Consider the following 14,707-nt stretch of genomic DNA (forward strand, 5'->3'; position numbering starts at 1 on the left):
GCCCTGGCTATCGATGGAACTTACCAAGCCAACCAGCAATGTATTATTCCATTATTATTAATTTAATTGTAGTTTTAATAAATTAATATATAAATTAATAAATTTATTGAATATTAAATATGCACAATAGGTATAGCATAAAATATAAACATTTAATATGTAATATAAATTTAATAGAAATACAATTTAATTTTAATAATTTAATATTAACTACCAATGCTATTATTTCATAATAGGATCAATTCATATTACAATACTCAATGGCAAACATTGTATTAGACAATGAGGATTCCAGACAAATAACAAATAAGAGATGGTAGGTGTGAAGTCAGGTGCAGTGACTCACGCCTGTAATCCCAGCACTCTGGGAGGCTGAGGCAGGCGATCACTTGAGGTCAGGAGTTTGAGACCAGCCTGGCCAATATGGTGAAACCCCATCTCTACTAAAAATACAAAAAACAGCCAGATGGTGGCACATGCCTGTAATCCCAGCTACTCGGTAGGCTGAGACACAAGAATCACTTGAACCCGGGAGGCAGAGTTTGCAGTGAGCCGAGATCGAGATCATGCCACTGCACTCCAGCCTGGGTGACAGAGCGAGACTCTGTCTCAAAAAAAGAAAAAGAAAAAGAAAAAGAAACGGTAGGTGTGCACCCTTATAATCCTATTCAGTGAGAGTTTTAGAAGTGGCATGGATAGAGGGTAGTGGACCCATGGGGACAGAGCAGCCATCCGCCTGAAGGGTGAGGACGGCATGGGCTTGAGGGATGGCTGGGCACTGCTGGGAAACGGAGTGTGCAGTCATGGGGACCGGTGAGGCTGGGTGTGAGGGTGGGGGGTGGGCAAGCCGGACTCACGTGGCCGTAGCTGGAGCAGACGCTCCCACGTTTCAAGCCTAGACAATGGACTCTTGGTTCCATGGGGACAAGGATTCAGACTGTTTTGTCCACTCTGTGTCCCTGGGACCCTGCACAGTCCCTGTGTTCACTAGGCTCAACAAATTCACTTTGCATAGACAGACAGAAGAGAGGGAAGGGAACCGAGGTGAAGGCAATAATGACTCCTTCGGAAGATAGGTTAAGTCAGAAAAGAATTTGGGAGCTTCCTGGCCACCATAGAAACAAGGCAGTCTGAGACTGAGCCCCGGCCCTTGAGGGGAGGATCTGGAGCCAAGCCGGTGCTGGAGTTCTGGAAGCGCTATGGTGACAGGAACACTCTGTGGGGTCCCCAGCAGGTGTGGGAATACCTGTATTTCCTGGATGCTTTCCTCCTCCCTGGCATCCACCTTCTTCTCAACCCCCTCGCCACGGAGCAAGGCTTCCAGCGTGGTGCTCTCTGAGGTGAACCCATCCTTCTTCAGGGGAAGCTCCACTTCTGAAAAACAAAGATAGAAAGGCAGGTCAGGCCACTAGAAGCAGGCAGGGCAGGAGGGACAGTCCTGGAGGACACGCAGGGCCCAGGGCTCCTGAGGAGGACTCGGGGCCTGTGCTCTCTCCTCCTGGAGGGAGAGGAACACTGGAGCCCTGTCCAGCTTTTCCATCTCCATTTCATAATCCAGAGACAGATTCCGACCATGCCCACACCCCCAGAGGAAGCTGAGCCAGAGCAGAAAGGGTGCGGGGTAGATGTGGGCTCACACGGCCATGCTTCTGCCTCTCCAGCCATGACATCGGACAAGGCAGGCGTCAGGAGCGTGGAGCCCTTATTGCATCCACAAAGCAGGGGTAACAATACCCAACCCCACAGGTGGTTTTGTAAGGGGACATGTGTTCATTTGCGGGAAAGTGTTTCAAAAACTCAAGCAATGCACAATGCTGGCAACCAAGTATGCTCATTCCCTCCTATCCCAGCTCTTGTCTGTCAACCCCATGACCTCCTCATGGCCATGCTGGCTGCCCAGCTCTGCTTTCCTCCATGAAAAGCTAGTTCAGCCTCAGAAAGGTTGTTCTCTTCAACCCAGGGGGAAGTGAGAGCTTCAAAAGCCACGGGAAGAGGAGCGACGGCGAATGCCTCACAAGCCCCGGATGAGCAGAGTGGCCACTGCACAGCCACGCCACGACCTTTTTTTCTGAAGGTATCAGGAGTTTGATCAGCTACCTGGGGCTTGAGAAGAGAAGCCCTGGGGTTGCCAGCAGAGAAGTGGCAACCCGAGCCAGCCCTGCCCAGAAGAGACACCAGAGAGAAGCTGAACCCCTTCCTCCAGGTGTCCCAAACTCCTGACCTGACAGAGGGTTGGTGTGTTTCTTTCTTTTCTTTCTTTCCTTCCCTCCTTTCTTTCCTTTCCCTCCCTCCCTCCTTTCTTTCTTTCCATTCTCTCTTTCTTTCTTTCTCTCTCCCTTCTTTCTTTCTCTTTCTTTCTTTCTCTCTCTCTCTCTTTCTTTCTCTTTTAGAGACAGGGTCTTACTTTATCACCCAGGCTGGAGTGCAGTGGCACTATCATAGCTCACTGCAGCCTCAAACTTCTGGCCTCAAGCAATCCATCTGCCTCAGCCTCCCAAAGCACTGGGGTTATAGGCATGAGCCACCATCCCCTGCTGTTTTTTTAATTAAAGATGCAAACCTAAGGTACAGGAGATCATTCTGATTTACTAAAATATTTCTTCAACCTCTCCTCTGATCCTGGACCTCATACCCCCACACTGCCACAGTTTGATATGTGGTCCTTACCATTGCACCAGGTAAGCTGGGGGCAGGAACTATGATGCAGTGGTGTCCCAGAAAACAGGAGAGATGAATGGCCTGCTCTTTTGGGGGTATTGAGAGTTTAGTGTAGGGACTATTTACAGAGATGGGGAGAGGTGATTAAGGGATCTGACAAGGTAGGTTAAAGCATCCCAGGTGGGTTTTGGGCAGGGGTGAGGGTGGAGAGGGGCCATTACCGCTGCTGCTATTTTTGGAGGGACAGAGGGAGAGTGCTTGCAAGAACCTGGAGATAGCACCATTAGCAGAGCCCCAGGACAGGAGCTATGGCTTGCAGAAGCCAGGAACCAAGGGAAGAAACAATCCAACCACCCTCTCCATCCATCCTCCATCAGCCTGCTGCGTCCTCTCCCAAGGGCCAACCTTAAACAGAAGCGAGAGGGGAAGGGAGCCCCCTTCACACAGCCTACCGAGCTCCGAGCAGGGTGAAGACGGAAAAGCATGGATCTGGAGGGGCAAATGGAAAGAGCAGCACCACCGAGCCTGCTCCACTGGGCTCTGTCCTGACTCCAACAGAATCCTACCTGCACTTTCCACTTCCTCCACCAGAAACAGAGGGAGTCTGACCAATCCATGAGGAAGCGGCAAGCGGGCATCCATTAAAACTGAACAAATGCACACCTGTGGGTGACCGGCCCCCAGAAAAAGAAGGTGGGAAGGAGAAACAGCATCTAAAATCTCTTGAGAAACAAAGTCTTTGGGATTTTTCCTACCAAAAAAGGAGAGCAAAGGATCCACTTCCCATCAAGGAGCGCTACCACGAAATCAGCCACCTCTGAATCCATCTATCCATTCAACAGATATTTACTGAGCACCTGCCATAGGACCACCACTGTGCTGGGACTAGGGACATAGGAGGTGAACCAAATAAAGACAGGCCCTGCCTTTAGGAGGCTTACAGTCCAAAGAGACAGATAGTAAATGCAAAATACAAAATCAAAATGCAATTACGAATTGTCGTAAATGTTAGGGAGGAAAACGACAGAATGAAATGTGAAAGAATATAGGTAACGGGGTCTACCTTAGATCAGGGAGTCAGGGAAGGCCTGTATGATGAAGTTACATTTAAGGAGAGTGTCAGACAAACAGCCAACTGTCTGCTTTAATGAGTTCATGGAGTACATCTCCATAGCCTGCTCTGATGACATATTACTCTTTCTCCCAAGTCAGAAAAGTCTTCCAAATGTCTACTCTAAAGCAATTAGTGTGTGCTGTCTCATGTCCTGTCCTCAGTCAAAAGAGAACAGCTGGTCACAACCCCTCAAACTTATAATAATCATATATACATAGAGTTGAAGTTCATATTTTAGTATCCCCCTTAGCCTTCGCAGCACTAAATAAATCCTATTTATTAGTGTTATTTCCCAGAATGGTACAGCATTTTAGAGCTAGAAAAGACCTTATAGATCATCTAATTCAATCATCTCATTTTGTAGATGCGTCACCCGAGACCCTGAAAAGTTAAGTAACCACCAACAGCCACACAGCAGGATGAGAATGCAGCTGAATGATATTTCCAAGTTGCCACTGAAATCACGACAATGGCCCCCTCTCATTGTATTCTTATTAGTGGTTGACAGGCTTAGGCTGAGCCCTGAATGAGCTTTGGTACATCCGTGTACATGCAGAGGGCTTGGCAAGCAGCAAACATTCAAAACTTAGCAGCTGTTACTGCTACGTATCAATCCCCACTACACCCAAGAGCACAGTTATTAACCCGTTTTACAGATGAGGGCAGTGCAGCTTATAGAGGTTGAGAACTTGCTTGATATCACACAGCTGGTAAGGGGCAAAGCCCGGCCTTAAACTCAATCTGCCTTCAGACCCAGTCACCTAATTAGGCTGCATGGACTCCACCCTGTCTCTCTGTGGTCCTTCCTTGAAAAGTCTTTTTCCAAACCTTTATGCATTTTCATTACATTCTGAGACTCACTCCATAGTTTTCATATTTCAGGATAAAAGGCAGATCTTTAACTGAGGATGAGGGCAGGTTTGTGCCATGGTTTTGGGTTCTGCTCTATACGATCATCCCCGTGCAATGTTCACCATTCTGCGACAGTATCTACCCACTATAGAATGTTCCATCAATAGTGAACTTGCCCCTCTCTTCCTTCTCCTGCTCTTCCTTCCTCCTCTGATAAATATGCCTCCATCCTGCTTTCCCATAATTGAATCTACTCTCTTGGTCCTCTTTAACCAAACTTTACCAGATAGGCACAGTAGAAGAATCAAGAGGGAAAACAGAACCAAATGGGAAAAGTGAAATGGAAAAAGCAAGAAGGGATCTCCAATAGCATCAAGAGTCCAATCCCTTAAACAGGAAAGTGAAGCACAGAAAGATATAGAGATTCCCCCAGGGTCACAGAGACATGTAGTGGCATCTTGCTTCCCTAATTACCACAATAGTTGATTTGCTCCCATAGGTTCTGCCTTCAGACAGCCCTGGAGTCAATCCCTAGCCTTGCCACGTATTAGTAAAGGGACCATGGGCTAGCTACGTAACCTAAGCCTCCATTTCCATATGTGGTAAATGGGTGTGGTCATAGTATCTATTTCAGTGTTGGCGAATCAAACATGGCAATGTGCTACATAAAGAAACGCTAAAAGAATCCACACACAAAAAAACTAGTGTGATAAATAGGGTAGAAGATGAGGCTTATCAACTTTTGTTTTATTCTATTCAAAACTTAGATTCAAAATTAGATCATATACGTAAAGAATCTACAACATGGTAAGTATCCTAAAAATGCTAGATGTTATTCCCTAAGTTTGAATAGTTTTGATTTCAATGGTACAGCTGCACTGTCCAACAGAAATGTAATACCGGCCACTTATGTAATTTTTAACTTACTAGTAGTCACATGTAGAAAAAGGAAGAAAGTCAGGTGTCATTAATTTTAATAAGATATTGTATCCGATCTGGTATTTCTAAAACATTACCATTCAACATGAAATCAACATAAAAATATGGACGCAAAATTTTACATTCTTTTATCTGCATTGTCTTCAAAGTCTGGTGGGTATTTTCCATTTAGAGCGTATCTCAATTCAGACTAGCCACATTTCAAGAGCTCCATAGCCACAGGTGGCTACCAGCTACCATAATGGACAGTGCAGATTTGCAGCATTAAAAATAACATTAACTATGACTTTGCTTCCAAAAAATGGAAAGAATTTTACTGTGGTTCTTAATGTTGTCCACGTAATAGCTGCCGAGTGCCATTCCAAGAGCAGAGTTCTAGCGGATCACTGCAAACCCTGGTTGCAAAGCATGATGGGTAAGGCCTGCAAGGTCAGAGTGAAAGGGTAGCCATCCCTCCCTACAAACAAACACAGGGTGCACTCTGCCTCCTGACCACAGGAGGTCCCAGAATGAAGGAGGAAGAAAGGTAACAGGTCCAAGCCCTTGCACAATGTATGTCCTAAACACACTTCTATTGAGCCCTTAGGGATTTCATTTATCCAATTTTATTTGAATATGGCCCATCTGGATATAGGATTTAATAATTCTTTGAAAGTGTACTCATTTTGAACCTCACACAAACTTGGGGCCCACATAACCCGACAGGAGCCATTGAACCTTTAACATTAAAAGAAAATGGTCCAAAACACACACATAATTCATCTTTAAATTAGCCTGATTTTATACACATGGATATAAACCCATGGATCGTTACTCTCTCCAGAGCGGCAGCAGCTGTCACCCAAGCCAGCCGCCTCCCTGGGCCCCCGTAAGCAGCTCTGCCTCTACTTCTAATTGGGAACAGAGATACTCCTTGGGTGACTTCCAGCACGATCCATCACACCAGAGACAGCTTCTGTGCAAACCGAAGCAAATCGGTTTCTAAATAAGAAAAAACCTCCGAGACAAACAAGGATTGAAGCATAGAAAGTCTTTTAAAAACAACCAAAAAAAGCACAAATAAAAGCAAAAAAACAAACAAACAAACAAAAAAAACCACACACACACACAGAAATTTCCAGCAAAGAGCAATGGCTTCTTCTCTTTAGGGCTACAGACAGGGCAGCCATCCTCTTGGGTGCAGATCAAAGCCACAAGCTTTTGACACAGGTGCCCCAAGCCTGCCACCCAATGCACTGAAAGCAAAGCTTCCACTGGGTTGTTGGAGCCACCGAGCTCATTAACAGGATGCAGGCGAGATGAGTCTGAAAGTGCAACATGGGAGCACAGTGAGTAATTAAATCCCAGGTCATTTAAAAATGCAAACGCCACGAATGTCATGAGCTCCCCAAGCCTCTGACTCCTTCTCCTTCGTTATTTGGCTCAGGATGAAGGACTGGAAACCTGCAAGTCGTATATGGATTATAATAAAATATGCCATATAGAAAACAGATTAAGACAGTTCTTCTTTGGGGAAATATACAAGGAGAGGAGCTGTCTGTTAGCTGTCGAGTTTGCAAGAGATACCATCTTTCGGGAGGCAGTGTGTTCTGCCAACAGACAGACTGCCCCAAGGGAAATTGTGGTGAAACACCCCGACAAGGCGCATCCATCCGTCCATCCATCATGGGCTCCCTCTGATGCAGGGGCCTGGAGATAGAGTTATGGTGCAAAAGGGAGGGAGAAATCCCACAGACAATGGCAAAGAATCCTCCTGCTAGATCATGAGTGCTCAATTTTTTTTTTTTTTAGCTGCCTCTAGTTTTTCTTCAAAAATACAAACATGCAGTTTTCTCGTCTGGGTGCTTATTATATTGAGGAGTTAAGCTCATCATATTTCCTTGGATTTATACATCAAATTACACGAAGGAGAAAAGAGCTTAAGAATCATTATTTCATTTATCCCCATCAGACTGTCAGACTCGTGAGGAGGGAGAAGGGAGGGAGGTATTGTTATCTCTCACCTCACAGGGGAAGAGACTGGGGAGGGGGATCAGAGACCTGATTTCCTAAGATGGTGGCAGGCCCAGGGATCCATCTGCTCATTCCCTAGGGGTGCCACTTTCTTGGCTGCCTTTGACTCCCTGTTTTGTGACTCATAAAGCTCGAAATAGATGAGGTTCACATTGAGGACCCATCACCCAGGCTGCACCCTGCAGGCCCTATTACCACTTGCTTTAGAATCTCAGGATATCCATATAACAGGAGGACTCATCCCTCCCCCATATGGCCTCTGCTGCACCTACCCTCTCACCCCTAAGTAGACACGCCAGGATGGGTTACGGCATCCAGATATCAGGACCACAGATAAGCATTCCCCCACCCCGAGATACAGAAAAACACCCACACTGCCCAAGGAAGCTCACCACTGAGCTGCCAGCAGACCAGGTAAATGCAGCTACCAGGAGGGTGAGACGGGGAGGGTGGTGGGAGTGGACAGAGTGCGGGCAGCATTTCCAAAGGCAAGGTCGGGGAATCAGGAGAGGCTGGTCAGATGGTACAGAGTGTCAGTCAGACAGGATGAATATGTTCTGGAGATCTGTTGTACAGCATGGTGACTCCAGTTATTAGTAATGAAAATTGCTAAGAGAGTCAATCTTAAATGTTCTCATGCACACACAAAAAATGACAAGAATGTGGAGTGATAGATACATTAACTAGCTTCATTTAGTCATTTCACAATGTATATATATATTTAAACATCACACTGTATGCCATAAATATATATAACTTTTATTTGTCAATTATGCCTTAATAAAGCTCGGAGGGAATAAAAAAGTAAATAATAAAAATGCAGGCTGGGAGCAGTGGTTCACACCTATAATCCCAATATTTTGGGAGGCGAGGTGGGTGGATAACTTGAGGTCAGGAGTTTGAGACCAGCCTGGCCTACATGGTGAAATCCCATTTCTACCAAAAAAACACAAAAATTAGCCATGTGGGATCGTACGCACCTGTAGTCCCAGTGACTCGAGAGGCTGAGGTGGGAGAATCGCTTGAACCTGGAAGGGGGAGGTTGCAGTGAGCCAAGATCATGCCACTGCGCTCCAGCCTAGGTGACAGAGTGAGACTCTGTCTCAAAAAAAAAAAAAATGCATAGTGCAAAGAAATACAGACAACCAGAAAGTGCAAAAAGCTGCTCTGGGGTGAACTCTCAGCTCCATTACCCTAAAGCACACACTTGGCCTTGATCTCCTTATCTGTAAACCTGGGAGAACAAAACCCACTTCCCACTGTTGTTATGGGGCCAAAGGAGATAATACATATGAAGTGTCTGGCACAGGTGAGATGCTCAATAAGTATGAGCTCCCTTCTTTCCACCTCCTACAGTTTCCCTCTCCTTGTGCTTTTCAGCAAAAAAACCCTCACCTTTCTGACACTCTAAGACCACCAGATGTGGTGAGTGAGGCACAGCTAACCCCACCATGGGCATGAGCCCAGGGAGGATGGAAACAAACGGAATCTGAGGCAGGTAACAGGATGGAAGAGGCCAAGAATGAGACGCAGCTGGAAAGCAGACGCTGGTGCTGCTCCAAGTCCAGGGTGGCCATTGCTCCTGGAGCTTCGGGGGAAAAATCATGGCAGAGCCACAGTGGAAGATACCCTGCTTTATCCCTTCATTTGGCAAGTAATTATCAAGCACCTACTATGTATCGACTCTGTTCTAGGTGCTGGGGCAATGACTCTGAAGAAAAGAGACAAAAATCCCGGCCCTCATAGAATTTATATTCTAGCAAGAGAGAAACAATACATGAAGCAAACAAGTGAAACCTTCAGTGTGACAGATGGTAATCAGTGCTTTGGAGGAAAAACAGAGCCAAGGAGGAGAAGTTGGAGTGTCAGGGTGATGGGAGGGGGGTTACACTTTTAAATGTGGCCAGGAAAGTGCAAGCCTGAAGGAAGAGAGGGAGGGGGCTACGCTGACATCCAGGCAAAGACGTTCCAGGCAAAGGGGCCTTCAGCACAAAAGCTCTGAAGCCGGCCCATCTGCCTGGAGCACGGTGAGCCAGGGGGATGGTAGGAGACCAGCTTGGGGAGCTACAGGGGCATTGAAGGCCATGTAGGCACCTGCAAGAATGTTGGCGTCCACCCCAAATGCAATGGCAAGCCGCTGGAGGTGTTGAGCAAAGCATGATATAATGATGCCTACATGTTAACAGAATCACTCTGAGAATAAGTGAAGGGGGTCGGAGCAGATGTGGGGTGACCAGTGAGGAGTTACTGCAAAATGTATGTCGTCTCTTAATGAGTTTGGTGCTTGGGGAGGGAGCTATGCACGATATGGACAGAGCTCTGTCCTCATGGTACTAATATTGTGGTTCTCAGATGTGTCCTGGGGGCAGTAAGCACTGGGGAGCAGTGCCCTGAGCAGGGGGCTTCCCCACCAGTGAACCAGGATGGAGGCCAAGTGGAGAGGCTGGTGTCAATGCAAAGTGGGCAAAGGTGTGAAGCCACACCAGGGTGAGTCCACGGAGGAATGGCTCTTCAAGAAGAAAGTGGACCAGCCCAGGCCAAGGGCAGGGAAAAAGATCTAGCCACATGGGCCTGGCCTGGCATACCATGGTTTAACAGGTGTAGTAAAAGCAGAGAGGAGGCCTTCCCAGTTCATCTCTGTGCCCTGGGCCATGGGTGCCTCGGGGCTGAGTTCTGGGACATAGGAGTGAGGTCCTGCAAGCTGTGGTTCTGGTAAAGGTGGGTCCCACGGCCAAGTTCTAGGTCATCTATAGACTGGGGCCTTTTAAAAGGCTATAAGACAGAGCTGGGCATGGTGGCGCATGCCTGAATTCCCAGCTACTCAGGAGGCTGAGGCAGGAGGAGGATCACGTGAACACAGGAGTTCAAATATAGCCTAAGGAACACAGCAAGGCCCGTCTCTAAAAATAAATAAATAAATAAAATAAAATGAATAGACTCTAAGGCAGAATGAGTTGCCATTCTGGGCCAGATGGCACACACTTTTCCAGCGGGGCAGTGAGCTGTCTGCAGCAAATTCATTTTCGGTGTTGGGGACGGGAACTGTGTTGCAGAGACCCACCCAGCAGTGCAGTGTGGAGGTAGAATCACAGTGCCTCCTCACACTTGCCAAGTCCTCCACCCTCCATCCCACACGCCTCTCAGAATAACCCCGCAAAATCACCATGACCCACATCTCACAGATGAAGGACTGAGGCAGGAGTGGTTAGGAAATTGTCCAAAATCACACAGCCAGTGGCTGGAGGGATCTAGACTTGAACCTAGGCCTGTGATCCCTGTTTGGTGCCTGTCCTCCTGCAGAGCAAGGATATTTGGACAGGGAAGGCCCCTACAACCCAAAACCAAACAGCCAAGATGGCAACACTTGGGCCCCCCAGGCCAGGCTGGGAACCACAAGGGAAGCCAAGCTCAGCCACCCCAGGCCTCTCCTCTCTGGCGGAGCCTCCCTCATCTGTGAAGCAGAGATGATGAGAGCTAAGTCATGTTCTCCAAGGTTAAGATCAAACACCAGACATGTCTCTTTCCCTCATCCCTTTAGAAATCTTTACTGCCCATGTACTATGTGCCAAGCCTCATGCTGGGTGCTAGGGATACAGATGAAGAAACAGATGGGCCCTCGCCGTCAAGTTGTCCACCTCCCAGTGGGCAGAGGTACAGGTGAGCAGGCAATGGCATAACTGGGTGATCCCTCAGACTCACAACTCATGCTCTACACGTGGCTCTGCCAGGTCCCACTGCAAAACATGACCGTGGACACTCAGCAGCAGCCGTGCCACTGTCCTGCCCACTGCCTGCTGCCAGCCCACCTCCTCGGCCAGCCCAAGCTCCCAGAGCCCTGCAGAACACCAGCAGAGCTGGGGAACACGAGCAGAGCTGAAGTCACACAGACTTCGTCCCCCAGTCCCTGCTCCTTTCCTGAGACGGACAGGAAGGCAAAAGGAGCAGGTCCCTTCCAGCACGTAATAGCCACAGCCTGAGTGGGGGCTGCACGCCCTGCCCACCTCGCTCCAGCTCCCCTTCTCATGAGGCCAACCAGAGCTGACGAAGCTGCCGGTGCAGGCCTCCAGATGGATGGCTGCAGGCTCTGACACTGCAGGAAAGAGATAAATGACTGGTCATTTCCCCCTGATGCACTTGAAGGCATCCATTCTCCCAGCCGTACCAAGCTCAGGCAACCCCCACCGCCCAGAGACAGATAAGCACTGACAGATGGGGGTGGGAGCCGGAGCGTCCTTCCCCCTCGGAAGGACACAGCCAGACTCCTCTGCAGGCCGGGAGAAGGTCGCGTTGTCCATTGGCTCACACCTGGCTCGAGGCTCCGCGGGTCCCTTCCTCCATCTCCCCGTTCTTGCCCACCCCCGCCTGGCTCATCCATCTGAAGAGCACACGGCAGAGGGGGAAGGCTGGGGGCAGAAGGAGCCGCTGACAGGCTCATCAATCTCAGGTTACATGCTTGGCACCTCGGCGTTCCTTAAGTTGTTCCCGGATTGGGAGGGTGTCGCAGGAGCCAGGGGCACTGTCTTGAGGAGAAGAGAAATCGCACCGAACATCAGAGAGCAAATGGTGGAGAAGCCTGGAGACTATTAAAATGTGGGCCATGTACAAAAGCAGTAGGGAACTAATTAAGATGCAGGATTTTCAAAAGCTGGGGAAGTTGGCCGCAGCCTGCTCCCATCTGTAGAGTTCTGGCAGTTCAGCGCAGCAGGGACAGCACCCTGGGTGGGTGAAGTAGGCCTCACCACCCCTGCTCGAGCTGGCCAGACTCAAGTCCCTCCGCCTGGACCACCCCTTTGGGAGATACCCCTCTGCAGGTCCCTACGACTTGCTTGTTGGCCAGCCTGTGGCCCTCTCTGCTTTGGGACACCTTAAGCCACTGTCGTCTTCGGGGTGCATGCCCTCTTGTCTGAGTTTCCCCCAACGACATGGGATGGGGGCGATCATCCTGGTCGTTCATCCCCAGTCATTGAAGGACTGCCAAAAACAGAAAAAATACAAGAGAAAGAACACTATCCCTGGCTGCCCTCCCTCCCATCACCCTCGGAATTCGGCAAGGGTGGCAAAGAGCCACCCTGCTCCCCAAGAGTCCTGGAGCAGAAGGGATCGACAAGGCCTCAGGTGCATTCCAGGTACAGGAGGAGCGTCAACTGTAAAGCCCTTTTCATCTGCGGGTCCAGGATAAGTGAGTGTGTCGGGCCTTCAAGCAACATGGCAGCAGCTCCAGCAGGCTCCCCATAGGGAGCATCACCAGGATCCTGGCATCACCAGGATCCCCTGGGAAATTAGCTTCCTAATTCTGTGCCGCAGTTTCCCAACCTCTAAAATGAAGATAATATCTGTCCTAGACCATGGGGACCGAAGGTCTGGGGTTGAAAGATGCTAAATTGATCTAAGCAGACTATCTGGGCATTTACTTCAAGGGGACACAAGTAAAAGTTTGTTCCCAGCCTTTGTCTTTTCTTCATTCAAAAAAAAAAAAAAAAGGAAAAGAAAAAGAAAGAAAGTGAAGTTAAAGGCCTCTTTTTTAATCAGCTGGCTTTTGCCCAACATCTGCTGTGCTCCCAGGCCTTCTGGTGGATATTTACTCTCCACCTTTCTCTTCTGCCAGCTCCACTCCCCCTTCACAAGGACAGAGCCCTTTTCCTGGGGAGATGGTCCGGGGGAGGCCCCTTGCTGGCACCAGGCCCCTGCCCAAGTCTTTGTGTTGTAGAATTGTGATGTCTACATCATGAAACACCTTGCATTCGCCTCTGTGGCCAAGTGCAAGCTGCAGAGAACACTGAACTCAATTGTCAGTCACTGGGGAGAAATAATGTTGTGTGTGTTGTCCTTCAGATGCCCAGGCAAGTAGGAGGTTGCAAGATGTTTATTCAAGACTGACTAGAGGGGTGACATTTGGCAGGAGAAACACATAGGTCCAGGGACACTGAGAACACTTGCAAATTCCAAAGAGTTCTTCCCAGATCTCAGGCCCTTCCTATCCCCATGCAGACAGATTTTTATTTTCAGCAAATAATAAAGAAACAGAAGAGGGATGGTGCATTTACCACACTGAAGGGGTGAGGACAGCAGGACTGGGAGTCACTCCAGGAGGGAATAATTTCACCCAGGAACAAATGACTCGATGTCAGCCAAGACCCAGCTCCCCACTTTTTTTGAGCCAGGGCCTCCCTCTGTCACCCAGGCTGGAGGGCAGTGGTGCAATCATGGCTCACTGCAGCCACAACCTCGCGGACTTCATTGATCCTCCTACCTCAGCCTCCCTAGTAGTGTCACCCTACAGGTGCCCACCACCACACCTGGCTAATTTTTGTATTTTTTGTAGAGACAGGTTCTTGCCATGTCACCCAGGCCCAGCTCCCCACTTTCCAGCCTGAAAGGTCCACTCATCCCACATGAGCAAAGTGCTTCGGGGGACTGAATCAGAAAAGGATGGTTCTGTGGCACTGTCCTCAGATCTTCTCCAACAGCCCTCAAGATTCTTGAACGTGCACCCCCCACTCTTTGCCCTGACCTGGTTTCCTGACACAGCTCCGCAGACCTGAGCTCAGAGAAAACTCTGACCCTCGTTACCCCTGGACTTCGTTGCTGAAACCTGCCCATCACTGCTGGACTCAGGCAGGGACAGAAAGGAATACAGGAGGGACAAGCTGAATGTTGGCATAAATTTTTTGTGACATCTCCTCACTGTCCATAGGAGAGTCTGACGTGGAAAGAAACTCATGCCTTGAGACAATTCTGCTCCAGGCCAGTGGCCCCTCAGTCTCTTGAAGAGCAGGCAGACTATTCTCCCTCTTCCCGGAGGAGATGAGGACATGTCAGGGTGTGCTGACGGCAGAACCCAGGTGGGCTTCAACAGTACTAGGCAAAACTAGATTCCTGAGCATCCTCTGTCAAGGGGAGGTCACACCAGGAGGCTGGGAGGGAAGATGAGGAAAAGACAGGCATCCTCAGGGGGTGGGTGTGGAGGGGCACCATGGGTGGGTGGGTTGGTTGGTTGGGTTCTTTCCAACATAACTCAGCCTTCCAGTTTCCATAAATTTAAAGAGATGCAACCCAGGATGGACAAATTATCGTTCTTCAGCAAGTTTTGCCCAGAGGATTATATACAATGTTGTACAATTTGCTTTTTGT

General features: G+C 48.7%; 1 protein-coding gene across 4 annotated transcripts in view, besides 1 other annotated feature; it reads right to left on the minus strand.

Annotated features, from left to right (window-relative positions):
- Positions 1 to 14,707, minus strand: part of DPF3 (double PHD fingers 3) — a 285,068-nt gene that overhangs the window by 121,527 nt on the left and 148,834 nt on the right. For all 4 annotated transcript variants that reach the window (NM_001280542.3, NM_012074.5, NM_001280543.2 and 1 more), the window contains one exon: positions 1,247 to 1,374. In NM_001280542.3, the coding sequence (NP_001267471.1) occupies positions 1,247 to 1,374 (128 nt within the window). The remainder of the gene's footprint in view (positions 1 to 1,246; positions 1,375 to 14,707) is intronic.
- Positions 11,522 to 12,479: an enhancer, noted in NCBI's record as "H3K27ac-H3K4me1 hESC enhancer chr14:73208790-73209747 (GRCh37/hg19 assembly coordinates)". NCBI's record gives its function as "activates a minimal SCP1, AML or CMV promoter by ChIP-STARR-seq in naive H9 embryonic stem cells {active_cell/tissue: H9 hESC(naive)}" and the evidence as "EXISTENCE:reporter gene assay evidence [ECO:0000049][PMID:30033119]".

The sequence above is a fragment of the Homo sapiens genome, chromosome 14 (genome assembly GCF_000001405.40).
Source record: "Homo sapiens chromosome 14, GRCh38.p14 Primary Assembly".
Classification (NCBI taxonomy): Eukaryota; Metazoa; Chordata; class Mammalia; order Primates; family Hominidae; genus Homo; species Homo sapiens.